Source organism: Homo sapiens, chromosome 6, assembly GCF_000001405.40.
Source record: "Homo sapiens chromosome 6, GRCh38.p14 Primary Assembly".
NCBI classification, from domain to species: Eukaryota; Metazoa; Chordata; class Mammalia; order Primates; family Hominidae; genus Homo; species Homo sapiens.
In genome coordinates, this window is record NC_000006.12 from 166,677,503 (window position 1) to 166,696,913 (window position 19,411).

The following is a 19,411-nucleotide window of genomic DNA, read 5'->3' on the forward strand; positions in this document are numbered from 1 at the left end:
GGCATGCACCACCACTCCCAGCTAATTTTTGTATTTTTAGTAGAGACAAGGCCAGGCTGGTCTCAAATTCCTGGCCTCAAGTGATCTGCCTGCCTGGGCTTCCCAAAGTGCTGGGATTACAGGCATGTATTTACCAACCTGAGTAGGTATTAATGCTATTCCATCTTTATCCTTGAAAAGGGGAAGGAAGATATTTTTGGATTATTCTAAAATTAAAAGTAAATTATATGATGCCTAGGACTTGCCACAAAATAACCTGGAGCTGTGTGGGTAGGTGGAGAAGGAGAGGGAGTGGACACATAAATAAAACAAGACTGGCCTGGTCTGGTAATTTTGGAAATTATCTGAGACAGATCTGTGGGGATTTATTACATTCTTTGCTTCCACATGTGCTTGCATTTTTTATGATAAAACTCATCTTTTTTAAAGCAGGGGTTTAACCTCTCAAGCAAATGAGTGTGACTGTCACTTTTAAAATGCTTCTGATATTAAAATCACTCCCAGAACAGCATAAAATAAGTCATTTTTAAAGCTGGTGTGGGATGTAGCTGTGATCCTGGGAAAATATAAAGCTGGTTTCCGGTATGGATCCACACCTGTGCTGTGTTCATACCAACAGCCCGGCTCAAGAACATATGCCAGCCGTCAAGTTGTGCAACCAGCACCAATTTCTCCTGCCAGCCAGAGCCTCCTTACCTTCCCACCTTATTTCCGGCCACTTCCCAGCACCCATTCTTACTCCAGGTGGGTCTAAATCCTCTCTGCTCCTCACGAGGCTCTTCCACGCTTATCCTGGCTCAGAACATCTCTCATCCCCCTGACTGGGCCTCCACCCTCCACGGGGAACCAAATCATGGGAAAGCTGGATTCCACAAGCCGCCCTGCAAGCCCACTGACCGCAGAAGGTTGCCTTCTACAACAGCTTAGCTCAAAACCTTCTTTTCGCTAAATAAAGTTGTATTTTACTTCCATGCAAAATAAACAAAAACTCAGTTTCCTGCCTTCAATCCTTCTCTCTTTTATTTCACAGAAGGAACTTTGGTTCTCTTAAATAAGGCTTCCACTCTGCATGTCTTTCCCAACAGATAAGATCGTTTACGTCTACTTACAGTTCTCAATGTTTGCTGTTCTGCGTCACCCTCAGAGTTACAGATGACTGTGACTCACGCCTGGAGAAGCAGCAAGGTGGGGTGAGAAAGGCCAGGTGGTGACCTTTGTCCAACCATGGCTGGCAAGCGACAAAGAAAGGGGGCTCAAAACGTGGCCTCTGAAGTCTCGATCCCCCGCATTTCTGCTGCGCCTTGAGCCCCCTGTGCTTCATGGGGCTGGGCTCTCAACCGCAAAGCAGGTATTTTTTGACCACAGATGAATTTCTAAAATTTGGCAAAAGGATTTAAAAACTCTAGAAATAGTGTGTATTTAGATATCTGTTCCCCAGATAAATTTGAGTATGACTTTTTTTGATCATGGTCATTAGTAGATAAAACCGTATTTGTTTACAAGTAATATTAATTCTATAGGATTTAGTTCACGTTACAAAACCTGGTTGACCAATTACCAGCACTAACAGAACTAAATAGTAAGTTTGGAGAAAGAAACTGTGAACAGAAAGGCTATTCAGTAGGAGATGTTGCTTTTTAAGTCACAACAAAAAAATAATAAATATTGTCACCGGGCGTGGTGGCTCATGCCTATAATCCCAGCACTTTGGGAGACTGAGGCGGGTGGATCACCTGAGGTCAGGAGTTCGAGACCAGCCTGGCCAAGATGGCAAAACCCCAACTCTCTTTAAAAAAAAAAAAAATACAAAAATTAGCCAGGCATGGTGGCGGGTGCCTGTAATCACAGCTATTCAGGAGGCTGAGGCAGAAGAATCACTTGAACCTGGGAGGTGGAGGTTTCAGTGAGCTGAGATCACACCACTGCACTCCAGCCTGGGCAACAGAGTGAGACTCCATCTCAATAATAATAATAATAATAAATAAATATTGTCACTTATTTTTGCCAGTGCAAATCTAGAAAACATGAGATGAAGGATAATGTGTAGGACATAGCCAAAAAGAGCTTGAACGTGAAAGTGAGAGGTAACAACGTGCTAGCAGCCCTGGCTCGCTCTCGGCACCTCCTCAACCTGGCGGCGCTCCTCGATCTGGCCGCGCTCGAGGAGCCCTTCAGCCCGCTGCTGTGCTGTGGGGGCCCATCTCTGGGGCTGGCCGAGGCCGGAGCCGGCTCTCTCTGCTGGTGGGGAGGTGTGGAGGGAGCGGCGCGGGCGGGAGCTGGGGTTGCGAGTGGTGCTCACTGGCTGGCGCGGGTTCCAGGTGAGCGCGGCTCGGCAAGCCCCGCACTCAGCGCGGTTGGCCAGCGCCTGCTGGGCTTGATGGGGGACGAGCTCCCTCTGGGCTGCAGGAGTACCTGGACTAGGTGCCGCAAAGTCCCTCGGCAGTGCCAGTGAGAGGTGAAGCCAGCTGGGCTTCTGGGATGGGTGGGGACTTGGAGAATTTTTCTGTCTAGCTAAAGGATTGTAAACCCACCAGTCAGCACTCTGTGTCTAGCTAAAGGTTTGTAAACGCACCAATCAGCACTCTGTGTCTAGCTAACGGTTTGTAAACGTGCCAATCAGCACTTGTTTAGCTAAAGGTATGTAAACGCACCAATCAGCACTCTGTGTCTAGCTAATCTGGTGGGGACTTGGAGAACTTTTGTGTCTAACTAAAGGATTGTAAACACACCAATCAGCACTCTGTGTCTAGCTAAAGGTTCGTAAACACACCAATCAGCACTCTGTCAAAACTGACCAATCAGCTCTCTGTAAAACGGACCAATCAGCTCTGTAAAATGGACCAATCAGCTCTCTGTAAAATGGACCAATCAGCAGGATGTGGGTGGGGCCAGATAAGGGAATAAAAGCAGGCCGCCCCAGCCAGGAGACCTACCTGCTCTGGTCCCCTTCCACGTTGTGGAAGGTTTGTTTTTTTGCTCTTTGTAGTAAATCTTGCTGGTGCCCACTTTTTGGGTCTGTGCCGCTTTTGTGAACTGTAACATCTCCACGAAGGTTTGCAGCTTCACTCCTGAAGCCAGTGACAGCACGAGCCCGCCAGGAGGGACGAACAACTCTGGACGTGCCAACCTTATGAACTGTAACACTCACTGTGAAGGTTTGCAGCTTCATTCCTAAAGTCAGCGAGACCATGAACCCACCAGAAGGAAAAAATTCTGGACATATCTGAACATCTGAAGGAACAAGCTCCAGACATACCATCTTTAAGAACTGTAACACTCATCACTAGGGTCTGTGGCTTCATTCTTGAAGTCAGGGAGACCGAGAACCCACCAATTCTGGACACAAAAGGAGACTTGCTGAGGCCAGAGGCACAGTTCAAACTTCAGTCAGATGCAGAATCGGAAAAGTTTCAGCCTTGCTGCCCCTCTCCTCCCATTTTTGACTCTGGAAAGGCCTGTGAGGGACCTGTTTGGCGTATCGAGTGAGGACTGCTCTTTTTTAACAGCAGCCGCTTGTCTCTCCCATATCTTCTCACCCCTTCTGCTCTGAATCAGGCTTTGTTCCCTAGTGAAGCACAGAAAGCAGGGAAAATTGGAGAAGGTGGAAAGGGCAGAGAGGCAGCGCCAGAGCACAGATCTAGCCACAACGTGTCCACCCCACTGCGTTTAGAAAATGCAAGGAAGGATGTACCAAAACTGCAGGTTACAACACTGTATCTTAGAAATTTTCTGAGCTTAAGAAATAGATGCCATACCCCACGACAAAAAGAAGTGGGTTGCACAATGGACTTGTACCATTTCCTGATACAAATGATGCTTATTTCCCAAGAAAAATACGAGGCATAGCCAATGGCCTAGGATGCAAAATTATAAACCAACTCATTGCTCCACTGGAAACCACGCCCTTCTTCTAGATTCCGTCTTGACATAAGGTCCAAGTTTCTTATCTGCACCCTCCACACGGCATCTCCTACCCCTAATTCCTCTCTGACACCTGCAGCCACGGCTGACCAGTGTGACCAGTGCTGATCGGTGGCCCCAGGAAGGCTGAGCTCTCTCCCTGCAAGTTGCACCAGGATTCTGTGCCCCGAAGGGAAAACTGTTCCTGGTGATTCCCGTGTCCCAGTTCCTTCCTTTTGTGATTCCAGCTCACAGGACCAGGCCTCTCCCTGGATCTCCCCCTGCCCGCCCCCCCCCCCGCCCCCGCCCAAGATCTTGCTCTTGGTGGCCTGTCTCCCAGAGATGAAAAGTCCTGTCTTGACCCTTGTTTGACCCTTGTGGCCCAGGGCTGGGGCCTGACACCTGCAGCAGGTGCCTAGAATGTTAATGCCACCAACTTTTCCTGTCCTCTGCTGGGAATGCCTTGTCCACCAGCAGCTCCTGCCGAGATCCCTTGATCGGCTCCTTCTGTGAGTCTCGACACCACCCACCACCGCACTGTTCTCCCGCAGAGATGACAGACAGCTTAGGTTTAAGTCTTCTGATGCCCAGCAAGAATATACAAAGAAAACTGGCCTAACCAATGTATTAATAGTAAAATCTGGTTCATTCGTAAGTAGAGTTCTGAGGGTTTTGAGATGCTGCTGTTATGTTTAAGCTACAGGCAATTTACCCAAGGAATGTGATGTTGAAATATGTTTCAGAATAAACTTCCGCTTGAAAATTACAGGCAATAAAATGTACCAGCTTTCTCCTTTTCTTCTTCATTAATGAATTGAGGAACATAAAAGCTCAATTAAAAATAAAGACTCATGCGTCACTTAGTTGTTTTTAGTCCTTTCAATTTAATAAAACATTGGTATTGAGGTGTCGTAGGAAAATGGAAAGTCACTGCTCCGTGTCTGGCTCAGTATCCACGTTTGGCTTACATCATAAATCCAGAGCCATGGGGAGTGTCTTTTCCCTACTTCATCGGAGCCTAGAATGCCCACAGGTGGGGTCCGGTGTGGGCAGCACAGGGGAAGCATAGAGAGGGTGAGACAGCCCTGGGGAAAGGCAGGGGCAGGGAGCAAGCTCCGAGGGCAGGGCCAACATGTCAGGTTTACTGCTGAACTCCAGGGTCTAGAACAGAGTGAGAGGGAGGAGGGACTCCATAATTAGCTGTCGAATAAGTGGAATCCCAAGAAGAAAACTGGGTGGGAGTGTGGAGATAAACACTAGCAACAACGACACAAAGAAAGCAAGGATTGCTTCATAGCCGGGACAAGCTCATTCATCGGAAACCATGAAATGGAACCTGTCTCCCCACACCCAGCAAAATAACAGCCCTACTGCCTGTCCTCAGAGCGCCCTATGACCACCACCTACCTCAGTAAAGAGACAACCCATGCATTTGACCACATCCTAAGCCCTTTTTCCCCTTCTCTGTTTCTTCTCAAAGGCCAGGTGATCATGTGGGTTCCAGCTTTATAACCACATTCCTTAGACCCAAACCAATGAGTTGAAGGCATGAATGAAGTAGGTAAGTGAAGGCATGAATGAAGAAATGCAACGAGAAACTAGGGGAAGGCCTACCAGCTGATGGACGTCAGATGGGTCTCGCCGCTTGCCCTCGGTGAAGCCCAGCCTGAGACCACAGCTGGCAGCTGTGCTTCTGTGGGAGAAGATCCAAGCGCTGCTCAGGGGTCACAACATGCAACATGACTCTTTCTACAGGGCAGGGGCAAGCCCTTAACCATGGAAACACATGCATTTCCACGACAACTCATACCTACGTGTGCCTCTGTGTTGGAGAGTATTGCATATTGCAGATGTCCAAAAGTGCACAAAGTTTTAACTTTATCAATTACATGAAGTGATGCTCTCCTAACTCAGAGTTACATTTTGGCAAGAGCCAGAAATGTACCAATGTATTTCCAAGCAAGCAGTGAGTAAACAGGAAGCAAAGTGTTTGCTCCCCATGATCAATTATAATCTACAGACCACATTCCTTCCACTCTAGAGACCTAGAAATATGTTTTTAAAGTATCTCATTAGTTTAAATTATGATTTTAAATTACTTTATTAGTTACTTGTGTGGCCATTTAAATAAGTCAGATTTTACTGGGAATAAATCAATGATTCATCTAAGGACAATGTGTGACTCAAATATTTCCTTCCATTAATCAGTAAATGTTCCTTTTCCCAACGTGCTTCCCCGCCAAGGAAATCAATGTCTCTGGATAACTAGGTAGGCGCAAATATGTCAGAGCACATCAGACTGAGAACACAGAAGGGAAACACATCTGGAGCTTTTCGCATCCAGGGCCTCACTCCACCGCTGATACGCTGGTAGCTGAATCTCGTCCGACCACATGGTGGGTGAGGCTGGGACAGCCTGGAGATACAGGAGAGAGCAGCTAGCGAGAGGTCCTTGGGGTGTTCGGCAGCTGTGGTCCCTAAGGTTCCAGCCCCCAGGCAGGCCTACAACAGCCACGGCACCTCCCCTTCCCTTCTCAGGACCCAGAGCTCACCAGGCAGCAGCAAGGGGCTACCGTGCAGGAGTTCATCTTGGACCCTATCCCAGACACGCTCTTGTAGGAACCCAAGATAACTGGAGGAGTCTATAAGGAGGTGTTGTCATCTAGATGTAGCTGGGGACAGAGATCAGAAAACAGGGCCCAACCTCCCCAGTGAGGTAGGAGACGGGACTTGACTCTGGAGGCAGGGTTCAGATACTGGACCAAACTGAGACCCTGCTAACACAGGGACGGAGGTCAGGGGATGTACCCATCAGTGTGCCATGTCTGTTTACTATTGCCATGGCAACCCCCAGGCATTACCGCCCCTTTTCATAGCAATGACCCCACAACCCAAAAGTTACTGCCCTTTTCCTAGAAATTTCTGCATAAACTGCCCCTTAATCTACATGTAATTTAAAGTGCGTATAAATATGACTGCAGGCCTGCCCTGAGCTGCTACTTTCTGCCTAGCAGGTAACTCTGCTCTGCAGGAGCAGTCACAGAGCTGTAACACTGCTGCTTCAACACAGCTGTTTTCTTCCACCCTACCGTCTGCTTGCTCTTGAATTCTCTCCTGGGTGAAGCCAAGACCCTTTGAAGGCTAAGCCCCAATTTGAGGCTCACCTGTCCTGCATCACCAGGAAGACCAGAGACCAAAGGTGGGGTCTCACCGGGTGCAGTCATCCTCAAGCCTTCACCCTGCTCTCTGCCCTCCTCTGCTCTGCCCCAGAGGCCCCAGGAATCCGGCAGATGCCGTTGGATGTATCCACAGTGCAGCTCCATCCCCGAAAGCCTCACCTCCAGCCTACATCGCTTTTACCTCCCAACTTGAACATTTATCACCCTTCCCCCTGAACAACTTGATTTGTTTTCTAAGAAAAATTCTGAACCTACTTTTTAATAATTAAATGCCCTTTCTCCTTCTTTCCAATTTATAATAAGAGAATGTCTTACAAATCTGAAAAGCAACAAGAAACATTGTGCCAGAGGAGGAGCTAAAAGAGGCTATCCTTACTTGAGAGAGCGTGGTACTGGGAGCCACACTGCAGGGAGGCCCTTGCAGGAAGAGGGAGATGTCACTGCGGGATGGTAGCTCCAGAGCCCTGCAAGGGCCAACCGGCTTCCATGGAAGCACCCCAACCTCGAAGTCCCCATCCAGTGGGCGGAGCTCAGCACTACAAGGAAGCTCAGACATGACCCTGATGGAGTATGGGTGGGTGTGCAGGCTGCGGGGACAGAGGCCGAGGAAAGCTCAGGCAGGACCCTGATGGAGTGTGGAGTGTGTATGCAGGCTGGGAGGACAGAGGCCGAGGAAAGCTCAGGCAGGACCCTGATGGAGTGTGGGGTGTGTGTGCAGGCTGGAAGGACAGAGGCCGAGGAAAGCTCAGGCAGGACCCTGATGGAGTGTGGGGTGTGTGTGCAGGCTGGGAGGACAGAGGCTGAGAAGGGCAATGGTTAAAATGATCTGTTGGCCATTTCTATCACTGTCCATCCCACTTGTCCTCCCTCAGACACTCGGGACAAGAGTCCAAGGATCCCAGACCTCTGACTTTCTTTCTGCCCTAGTTTCATGGAGGTGAACTGATGGATTCATAGCCATGCATCTTTGAGAGTTGTTGGAGTACAGTTTCATTCCCTAGGATTAGGGAAGATCTTGGATTCAAATCCATAGACTCTTCCTGAGCTCCCACTGCATCCCAGCTTTTGAAAGAATTCCTCCCCGTGCACCACCACTCTTCACCCTCACGACAATTCTATGGGCATCACGTTTCTTATGGCAAAGAGCCTTGTAGGACTGAGGTTCAAGCTGGGTTCACACAGCCAGGTACTTGGTGCCCTTTCTCCCACCACATCTCCTACCACCTCCTTGCTGCCTTGCTCCCCGGCTAAGCTGGGTCTGTGCCTCTATCTCCATGGTATCTACATCACTGCTTTTAACTCCTACCATCGAGTGATCCCGCAGACAATGCACCATGGTGATGGACGATGGGCCCATGCCCTAGGAGGGAGGGGGACAGAGGGCGAACGAAGGGGCTGAGACGAAGGAGCTGTGAGGTCTTTACATTCACAGCCTCAGGTCTTAGGGCTAATGAGAACGAATGACTGGGATAAGCCAGGTGCCTTTCCAGACACCTACGGAAGGATCGAGAATCTTATTTGGCAGTGACACCAGTTCTACCCCACAGAGATGGGAAGAGATCAGGACAGCATTGACCTAAGGGCCATCCTATGCTCATGTAAGGTCGGTCCTGCTGAGTCCTGCCGCCAGGAACAGGAGTCAGGGTGCATATCGGGCACCAGGCATGAGGATTTGTCACTGGGAACAAGGATGTGTGGAGACCGTGCAAAGCAACCCGACCTCTCCTACTGTGGGACCCTCTGGCCCAGGGTTATCTCCATGTCACCTGGTGGGCTCCTGAGCAACTTTTCTGCTTTTTTGTATGCAGGGAGGTGAAATGACCCAGAACAAGCCCTGAAATCCAAGCAGGTTGGTGTGAACTTCTGAAACCTCTGATGCCAAACCAGCACCTCCCAGATACTCTGGAGCCAGCACACATGCTCTGCACCCAAGGCCATGTGGCTTCTGCTGACAGGCCCCAGCCCATCAGTGCATCTGATCCTGCAGCCCATGTGGCTTAGCTTTCCTTCTCTCTCTGCCCCGAATTCTCCACCCCTCACTGGCTCACTTCTGCTCATGCTTCAGCCTCCTGGCTTCCTCTGGGAAGCTGCCTTGCTCCCCGGCTGAGCTGGGTCCATGCCTGTATCTCCATGGTACCTATGTCACTGCTTTTAACTGTGCTATGTTTTGAGGACCTGTTCAGGAGCTGTTTCCTGCACCAAGCCGAGAGCACTCACAGCAGCACCCATGGTAGGAGCTCTGTGCATACCTGGTGGATTAACATGTGCCAATTACAGTGTGGCCACAAATCCAGGACAGCACCACCACTTCCTTCACCCGAGGTTTGAAGGAGAAAGAACAGGGGTGAGGGGAGAATAGGATCGAGTACAAGTCCGGAGGGACTGACTGGGTGCAGGGCAGAGGGCAGCTCTGTCTGCGCCCATTCTCCATGCTATTGAGATAGCCATATGAAGACACAAGCCAACCAAGGCATCTGCCCTGCCTTCACGGACACCTGCGACTCTGCCTGGGCCGTGGAGATCCAGACACAGACAGCAATGCCCCAGCAACTGCCTCCACGGTCTCTGTGGGGAGTAGCAGCATTGTGATCATTGCAACAGCAGCCACCGCGGGCAGAGTTCCTCCTGCGTGCCAGGAGCCATGGCAGGTGCGATACCTGCCTCGCTTCGTTGACCCTGACAAGGTCACAGGGCAGGGGATCATTAGACCCAAATTTCAAATGAGGAACACACAGCTGTAGTCTGCACTGGACACGCACATGCCTTGATAGCACAAGGCACCATTACTGAGTGTCCATGGTGCTGTGTATATATTCACTATTGAAAGAACAACAGTGGCACCTCCCTGCCTGTGAGCGTGGCCTTGTTGCTGTTCTAGTGGGGGCAGGGGGACACCAGTAGAGGCCAGCGGGGTTTTTCACCCAGAAGCTAAAGAAAAGGAAGAGGTGGTTTGGAGGGAAAATTGTTGACTGAAGAATTCAACTATTGGGAGCCAGCTGACTCCACTCTATTTATTTTTCTATTAAGATGGTTTACTGAATTATTTGAATTGCAGGAATCCAGTCATTTTAATTTGCTCAGATGTGGCTTATTGAACTTTGATTTTCTGTGCTGAAGAGCAAACAGAACGTTCAAACAAATTTAAGTTGGGCACGTTTAAATGAAGCGCAGCATTGCGTCGGCGGCTCTGTGTGGAGCGTTATCAGGATTTGCTCAATGCGTGTGCACAGAGATGCAAAATTGCCTTTACCAGAATCAATCTTGGGTTATGTGTGGTCCAAAGAATGCTTCTAAGCCCCCTGCGGTAGGAGTGAGACCTGGAAGATATGGGCAATGAGACAAAGGCCCCCAGACCACCACTGGGGAGGGGGTTCTATTCACAGGACGGGGGAGCCTGCTTGGGAAGGAGCAGGGACAGAGCTGGGCTGCTCTGCATGACACAGCGGGACAGGGATTGGCTGGGAGGAGATGGAGTGAGTATTCAAAAGGCAGGAGGAGGGAGACAGGGCCGCAGACCTCAGGGTGGGAGGGGTATGTGGGGTTGGGAGGCCCTGACGGGTCTCTGGAAGGCGAAGGAGCTGGCAGGGCTTCCAGGTTCACTGTGGAGCAGCTGGGGTGCTCTTTTGTCTGCTCTGCCTGCCTCCGAGGTCTCTGGGTGTCTCCCTGGCTCACTAAAGCTCGTGTGTGGTGGATCTTTGAGGGGGAACTTGAAAAAGACACAAGCTTTGCCACTGGGACACTGCACAGGGCCCCCGCCAGGGTCCTCAACCTCAATTTCCCACTCGTGTCCCACCTGCCCGGCCCCCTCTGCTCATCCCCGGCCTTGCCAGGGGCACATTTTTACCTCCAGTGCAGCTGCAGAGGGAGCTGGCCACGGGTGGCTGGGTTCACAAGTCAGGACCAAGTGATTAAGCAGGGCCACGTGTGCCCCCTAGCAATGAGCAGAACCGTGGGGTAAAACAAAATCACTGGGTTTGGAGGATGAAAGGGTAAGAAGCAGGTGGCTAGGAGAGGGGCACACAGTGTCACCATGAGGAGGTGACATGATCCCCAGGTAGGGGGCGGGAAGGCGAGAGCGACAGCGTCAGCGTGAGGCTGGCAACAGACAGCGTTGAAACCGCAGTTGTGCTTAGGGGCTAGGACGTGCCTAAGGTTAGCCAAACAACAGAAACCCCGCATGGGGGCAGCCTGGGAGCCCTCTTTCCACACCTTCATGTCCACATGAACCCATGTGGGGCCATCTCCTGTCTCAGTTTCCTCATCTGCAAAATGAGATCGTAATTGTGCTCCTAAAAAATTACAAGGACTAAGTGAATTATTACATGCAACAAAGTTAGAATGCCCTCACCATGCACAGCCTGAATGCAGAGCAAGAGATTTCAGTGGAGTGGAAAGAAATCCACCCTTGCTTCAGGGCTAACTTTAATAGCATCCCCGAAAACAAAGGAAACTCCCTGAGTACAAGGGGAACCTCCTGCCGAAGGCCAGCCCTGAGCAGGTCCTCCCCACTCGCCCAGGTGAGCAGGGCTCTGGCCGCCCTGTGCCTGGAGGCTGCGCCAAAAGCGCTCCCCTACCAAAGCCCTCGCTTTCTCAGTGCCGAGCACCATGTTTCCATGTGGATTTACACCACTTCTTTACCCCTGCAGAGAAGACTGGTTTCCTGTCCCAAAAACAGAACTCGTGTCTGAATTGACACCAAGATGAACTCAAGGCCAGGAGCCCGGGATGAAGGTAGCATCCCAAGGCACTCCTGCAGCGTTAGCAGAACTCTCTGCACACAGGCACCTGCCACGGATATGTGTGCGTGGCTTCCCAACGTGATACAAGGAAAAGAGTAGACATGACCACAGTGGAACAAACAATAAATATTTAATTGAATGAAAAAATAAGTAAGGATCCCGAGGAAAGTGTTGGTTAAACTGAGCATGGCCAGTTCCGATTTTTAGAACCTCCAGGGGATCCTGGAATCTGCTTCTCCCCACTGGATTCGTAGGTGTTGGGCTCTGCTGGCCCTGTGGTCAGAGGTGATACCCCCCAGGCAGGCCAGGGGGACCTAGTGGGACAGGTGTGGGAGACTGAGTGCAGGCATCTCAGACAGCTGTTTGAAGCCTCGGGCATTTTAATAAATGTCCCCCTATTTCATAGGCAAAAGTTTGGTGTCCCTGAACAAAACCATCCAACTGTAGCTGAGTGAAGACAGCACTGGTGGAAGCAGCTCTGTGCCCATGAGGGTTCTGCTCTGCAAGGCTCTGTGCACACACCGAGGACACCAGGACCAGAGAAAGCCACATGAAAGTTTTAATATTCGGCCCTCAGGCCAAGTGGCAGGAAGCAAAGCTGAGGCCCACCCACCTCACCAGGAGGCCTCTGGTCCTGCTGCTGTGGCCAAGGAGTCCACACTGCGTTCCCTCCCCAAGGAGGTGGCAGAGCTGCACGGTCCCGCAATCCCACCGCATGGCTCCGGTCTAGGGATTGGGTGAGGGGCTCTGGGAGCCCTGGAGGTGGCCTGTCAGGGGAAGGACCAAGCTGAGGGGTGGAGGGAGGAGGGTGAAGTGTGAGGCTGCTTTGGGACCACATCACAACCCACCAGTCTGACGTGAGCACCCAGCATTGGGGTGACGGGGTCTTTTCTCCCACAGCTTTTTCACATAAATCCACTGCTCTGGGAGGGGAGTGTCAAGCTGTCCTTACATCCAGAGTGAGTCCTTGAGGGCCACCACTGAGACCTGTTCATTCCACACCATCAGGGCTAAACTGGTCTATTCCTTGACAGAGCATCCTAGCCCCAGAGGCAATACGGAAATACAGACATGTCAGCACAGAAAGGCAACAGGATTCCCATCAAGTGTCTATCACAAGATCAGACAGTCTGAGCCACCTGCGTGGCTAGAATTATGTCTCAAGGTGCCAAACAGCTTTACACAGTTCTCGGGATTCTTCAAAGGGAGAAGAACTCCCTCTATGAGCTCGAAGACACGCGTCGGAACTCCAGGCGTCCTCTGACACCTCGATGCAGCTCCGTGAGCCTTGGTTTTCCTCTCTGTGGATGAGGACACATCCGCTCCCTGGGGGCAGGAGGGGACGGGGGCTCAGCTCTGCAGGTCCACAGTGAGACTCCCTGGGTTGCACTCCTCAAAGTCCCTTCCGCTAGATAAGCCTCAGTTTCCTCAGCTATAAAACGGACGTACACCATCTACTTAGCAAACACTGCCCCTGCACTGTGGCAAGTCTTAGAATTCTCATTTTTTCTCAGGGGAAATCTCTGACCACGGAGACCCTGAACAGGCATGCTGTGGACAGGTGTTTACAGGGCTTACTCTGTGGCATGCCATCTTGATTATAATGTTTTATAAAGGACATTAATTACATGAAAGCATTAAATAAATAATTAATGTGATCATCAACAGTAAACAGCATAATAATCAACAGCACACAGTCCATATAATATATTCTTGATGGTTTTAAACCATAACGAAAATAGAAAATGAAAAACTGTAGGTTCTAGAAGATTCAAGCGTTGCCAACTCATGCCGGGAGACCTGCGCTCTGTCATAATGTTGCTTCTCCTTTTATACCTGACTCTGCCATCTGATTGCCCTGAAAATTACGGCCCCGGGTTCTAGCCTCCACTAAGAGTGCTGCCAGGACTTGACCTCAGGAGTTCCTTGGATTCTTTCCTTCTCTGTTTTCACGGCCCGCATGCCAGGTTAGGCCCTCCTCATCTTATGACTCACTCATGCTATAACAACCTTCAAAACGATTTCCTGCTTTTAATCTCTCTCCACTCCAGTCCAGCCTGAGACCTGCCAGGCTATTCCCAAAATAACTCTTCTCGTGTGTCACTCCCTGCCCCAGGCGCCCGACACCTTCCCCGCCAAGCTCTCTGTTCCCCTGCTCCTGGCTCTCTCTCCTGCACACAAGCGCATCTCACCTCCCGGTTTTCAGGGTACTGTGCTCAGCCCGGGCCTCCCCTGCTGCCCTGTTAGAAGCCCTCCTCCCTCAGAGTCCAGGGAGCTCCGACCCTCTCCGTGATGTGTTCTTAACTTTACTCCACATTTTGACACGACTTACCTGCACCCCACCATTAGTACCATGCGTGCCATGACATATGTGACATTTTCTAAGGCCCCTATCTAAATATTTCATCTTCAAAAGGAGTGGAGGCTCCTTTGGTTTGAGGCAAAAGCATGTTACAAAAGAACAATGCTAACTAGATTGCAGGCATTTATGTAATTATCTATTTATCCATCTTCTATACCCTTACACGGGGAAAGGAAATGAGAAATTGAAATGCCAGCAAAAGAAAACAAAGACCAGAATGAGAGCTCAAGAAGCACGTGAGGCCGGGAGGAAGCCACACAGGCCACAGGCTCCTGGGCAGCTATTCCCCGTGTCCCAGGAGCAGTCACCCATCAGCTGAAATCCTCCCTCCCTCTGGAGTTAGTTACAGGTCAGGGCGTCCTGTGTTGGGGGAAAGAACTGCAGATTCACAAGCGTGCATTAAAATTAAATGACATGGAAGAGGAAGAAGCAGAGAAGTGGACGTGTGGGTTCTCCACCTCCCACAAGTGTCCCCTGTCAAGATTTGTTGTCTTGGGAAGATAAAATAAGGGAAGAACAGAAGAGTAAAAGGGATAAAGTGAGGCGATAGAGAGAAAAGAAAAGTAAGGAAAGAAGTAGTCAGAAAAAAATAAAAGAAGCAAACAGCGCTTATCCTCCTACCTCTGCTCAAGCTATAAACTAAAATCGCCCCCTACTGAATATATGCCCAAGAAGAAGATGCTGTGAGAAAAGTGTTCTGTCGAACCCAGGGACCAGCGTGTGCAGAGATGGACGATGGAAACCCAGCCATGGCAAACTCAAGGACAAGACAGAATAACACTGGACAGAGAGCAGACGCTCTGCTGAGCAGGAAACTTTTGCAAGCCAAAGTTTAAAGATACATAGGAACAAAGTAGAATAAAGTAGAATAAACAAGGACAGAAAACATGAGAAAATTGGATGCTAAAAAAACCTACTCTAAGCTGCATATTAAGTAAAATATTAAGAAATAAGGAAAAAAAAGTTACAAATGTCATCCGTTATTATGCCAAATAATAACTAACTGGCCTGTTTGGCTTCCAGAGCGGATCAGGAACCATCTTAAAAACAAAACCAAACAACACGGCAGGCTCCAAAGTGCTTTTTAACAAGGTAAACAAGGGTACTTACTAACAATATCCCATAGAACTTAGAGAAGGCTTGGCGGAGGAGAGAGAGCATGTCGCCTAAGTTAGAAATGATGACGATTTTGGCCAGGGAGCCACACTGTCTTTCTCTTCAAGCATGGAGCATCTCACTCCTCCACATTTCAGAGAGCAAACCTCCACGGGAGTATGTAAACATTCAGGCTAATTGTCACTCGGGATCATCCGAAACTCAGGAGAGGGCAAGAGGCAGTTGATTGCAGCAAGGATATGACAATGTCACTTTTAGTAACTGACTCAGTCCAACACCTCAGAGTCAAGTGCTTAATATAGGGCTACTCTTTCCGTTGGGTGGCAAGTTTAGCGAAATTGACCACCTGTTCCCTTGCAAGTCTGCCTGTCTCCAGCCTAAATCAGAAGGAGCACCTGGCACCGCAGCTCGCAGGAGGTGCTGCAGCGATTGGATTTTGCCTCCTATCACTGCCTGTGAAATCCAGATGTTCTGGGACCTTCTCCACTCCTGAGAAGGCTGCAGATCAAGCTGCTAAACACGCGGAAGTGATTCTTGTTGTTTTTAATATCCTTAGTTATGTGTCTTTTCTGGAGATTCTATTTTTGTAAGTTTAAAACTCTGGTTTCCTTGCACATCAGCAGGGCCTCTACTAAAGAAATGGAAAAAAGGAGCGTCTCAGCCGTGCACTCAGGGTCCTGCGCCTCCATCGCAAAGCCCCAGGAGGACTCCCTGTTCCATATTTGTGGACTGCTCCAAGTCCACTTAGCCAGGATCTCTCGCCTGGTCTGTGGCCAGGGAGATCGAGGGTACACTCAATTTGTTCATAAAATGTCTCCAGCAGTTTTTTAGAAAGTCTGCACCATTAATATCCCCCTCCCCCGCAATTTAACATGATGTCGTTTGCATCCTTGTGAATACAGTGTGCCACCAATTTGAAACTCTAGCCGTGTCCACTAGGTTTTTGTCCTGGGCTTTCCCAAACAACAGCTTAATTGGAGTCAGCAATTTGAGGGAGAAAGGCCACAAAAATAAAAGTAACTCATAAAAAACAAGTTCCACTCACCAAGCTTAGACACACCCCTTAGGCACAGGTTACTCCTGTGGTTTGCTGGTGAAGGCCAGAACCTCACCTCTTCCTTAGACATCCCTCTGTCCCCTACCTCAAAGAAATTCCTTTCTCCCTTAACGATAGTTCTCGCCATTCTGTTAAATGACAAAATTGATAGAATGTCTCTATTGTGCATTGTGTGACATTGCAGCTCATCAGGAATTTATGAGTCATTTTTGACAAGACGATGGCGAACCTCTTTATGACTGGGGCTCGCTGCCCTTATATCTCCAAAGGGCTGGATGGCCCACATGCTCTCTGCCTCCCACACACGGAGGTTCTTTGCCATGTGGATACCCAGAGACTTGAGAAGGAATTTCACTTGGCAGATCACTTGACCAACACAGGAACCGGCTGCTTTATTTCCTGTTGAAGCACTCACCTGGGCCACAGAGGAGCGGGAGTTGGACGGCCTGGCTGGCACTTCTCCTCCTTTAGGTGAACTTGCTGGGAACATCCCATATTGTTTAGAAGACTCTGTAGTCTCTTTCTGTTCACCCATCTCTCCATTCACGGTCTTCCAATACAATAAAGTCACTACTCCAGTGATTCTTGATTCCTTAACTAAATTGTGGAGAGATTTCTAGTAACGTCCAGGATAAAAAAATGTCTGAAACTGCGAAGAACAAAGCCTGGCCCAGAAGAGTTCGTCTAACACTTTTTGAGGCTCTGACCACCTGGTAACTGGGCAGGGGCACTGCATTCCAAAGTCGCAATTGCAGGATCCAGGAAGCTGATGCGAACCTCTCCCTACATGGTGAGAACCCTTTACCTTCCCGTAGCTTTAAATATCACTCGCATTCTGCTAGAGTGATTCTGTGCCTCTAGTCGAATCTACTGTTGTTGGTGGGAAACATACCACAAAGCATAATTATCTGAATGACCTGAGCCCTTACTGCATCTTTCCACGTTGAGAGAGAAAGAGAGTAATTCATTCATTTAAGAAATATTGATTGAGCATGCTTGCCGTTTCATCATCTAATGTATTTACCATTCCTCCCAGCTGGGTTTTAGATACCAATGTGATCCATATGCTATTTGCTTACATAAGTCTGCTTGTAATATCCATTTATTCAATAAATAGATATTAATCACTTAGGCTATGGGATCAGCTCTGGAAACACAGTGGTGAGGAAGAGAGATGCTATCCTGGCCACCAAGGAGCTAATATTCCGGTGGAGAAAATGTCACTAAGCAAATAACGACATAGACAAATCTATGAATACAGTTGATATGGCTGCTGTGCAGTGAGTTGCTATGCGAATGGACTCAGGAAGACTTGAACCCAGGTTGGAGAGACAGGAACATCCTCTCTGAGAAAAGGTCACTAACTCTGAAACTCAAAAGGTGGGTCCAGATTCTCTAGGCAAAGAGAAGTGTGCAGAGCAGCCCGCTTGAAGAATACCCAATGGCAAAACAAACACAACACAAACAGAACAACCCCCAGGAGCAAACCCGGAGCCAGAGAAAAGCGCAGTGTCATTGAGGAGACCCACAGAGACGTACATGGCCAGAACTGGCCAGAAAATGGGGTAAGCTCTTGTTAACATGTTTAGGTTTTATCCTAAGTGCAGTGAGGGTCTTGCAGGGTTTTAATTAGAAGAATGTATTTTTCTGATTATGTCTGTTAGACTGGGTTCCCAATCCTCAGGCCTCAGACTGGTACAGGTCCATGGCTTGTAGGAACCAGGCCGCACAGCAGGAGGTGAGTAGCAGGCAAGCGAGTGTTACCTCTCTAGCCTGAGCTCTGCCTCCTGTCAGATCAGCAACAGAACTAGATTCTCCTAGGAGCACTGGATTCTCCTAGGAGCACTGGATTCTCCTAGGAGCACTGGATTCTCACAGGAGCACTGGATTCTCACAGGAGCACTGGATTCTCATAGGAGCACTGGATTCTCACAGGAGCACTGGATTCTCATAGGAGCACTGGATTCTCACAGGAGCACTGGATTCTCACAGGAGCACTGGATTCTCATAGGAGCACTAAATTCTCATAGGAGCACTAGATTCTCACAGGAGCACTAGATTCTCATAGGAGCTGGAACCCTACTGTGAACTGCGCATGCGGGAATCCAGGTTGCACACTCCTTATGAGAATCCAATGGCTGATGATCTGAGGTGGAACAGCTTCATCCCCAAACATTTTCCCTCCCTGCACTCCCCCCTCTTCCACGGAAACATTGTCTTCCACGAAACCGGTCCCTGATGTCAAAAAGGTTGGGGACGGCCGTTTTAGGCTGCACAGCAACTGACTCTGATATGGGGAAGAGCCGGAGTGGGATTAGCAGCTCTCCAGGAAACAGCAGGATGTCTCCTGCACTTAGGCTGTGGGGAGAAGCAGCCCCACGTGAGATCTGGGTGGTAGTCTATCAGCTGGGTGCGGACTGAATCAATACGGGGGTGATCAGAAATGAGAGATGGGAGATGCTCATCGGAAACCTGAATAGGTAGATGGAAATGCATCATTTGTATTCAGATGATTTCTCCAAGTTTATCTCTATCCTGGACTTACCTTCTGAGCTTCAGACTAATATCTCCACTCTCTGGTAGAAACCTTTATTCTAATATTCCCCAGGAAACTCAGTGAACATATCCACAGCTCAAATCATTGCCCCTGAACCATCCATTAAAACAGTTCCTCCCCCATTTTTCCTTAACCGAGCAAATGTTTATCAGCTGAAACGGTCCATTTTCTACGTCAACTTGACAGGGCTGCACGGTGCCCAGATACTGGTCAGGGTTATTATGAATGTGTCCGTGAGGGTATTCTGGGAGGAGACGAACATTTAAATTGGTGAATGGAGTCAAGCAGATGCCCTCTCCAATGTGGGTGGGTCTCACCCAATCAGTGAAAGGACAGAACAGAAAAGCCAACTCCCCCACAAGTGAGAGGGACCCCTTCCCGCCTGGCCACCTTGAGCTGGGGCAGCAATCTTTTTCTGCCTTTGGACTCAACCTGAAACACCAGCTCTTCCTGGGTTTTGAGCCTTCCAGCTCTCAAACTATACCATTGGCTCTCCTGGTT

At 49.4% G+C, this 19,411-nt stretch overlaps 1 protein-coding gene across 6 annotated transcripts in view, besides 2 other annotated features; it reads right to left on the reverse strand.

The window, feature by feature from the left end:
- RPS6KA2 (ribosomal protein S6 kinase A2) overlaps window positions 1-19,411 on the reverse strand; it is a 453,410-nt gene that overhangs the window by 268,139 nt on the left and 165,860 nt on the right. The gene's annotated exons all lie outside the window — the stretch shown is intronic.
- Window positions 12,283-12,951: an enhancer, noted in NCBI's record as "H3K4me1 hESC enhancer chr6:167103273-167103941 (GRCh37/hg19 assembly coordinates)". NCBI's record gives its function as "activates a minimal SCP1, AML or CMV promoter by ChIP-STARR-seq in naive H9 embryonic stem cells {active_cell/tissue: H9 hESC(naive)}" and the evidence as "EXISTENCE:reporter gene assay evidence [ECO:0000049][PMID:30033119]".
- Window positions 16,061-17,260: an enhancer, noted in NCBI's record as "CDK7 strongly-dependent group 2 enhancer chr6:167107051-167108250 (GRCh37/hg19 assembly coordinates)". NCBI's record gives its function as "activates an origin of replication core promoter dependent on BRD2, BRD4, P300/CBP, MED14 and CDK7 cofactors, with strong dependence on CDK7, by STARR-seq in HCT116 cells {active_cell/tissue: HCT116}" and the evidence as "EXISTENCE:reporter gene assay evidence [ECO:0000049][PMID:35650434]".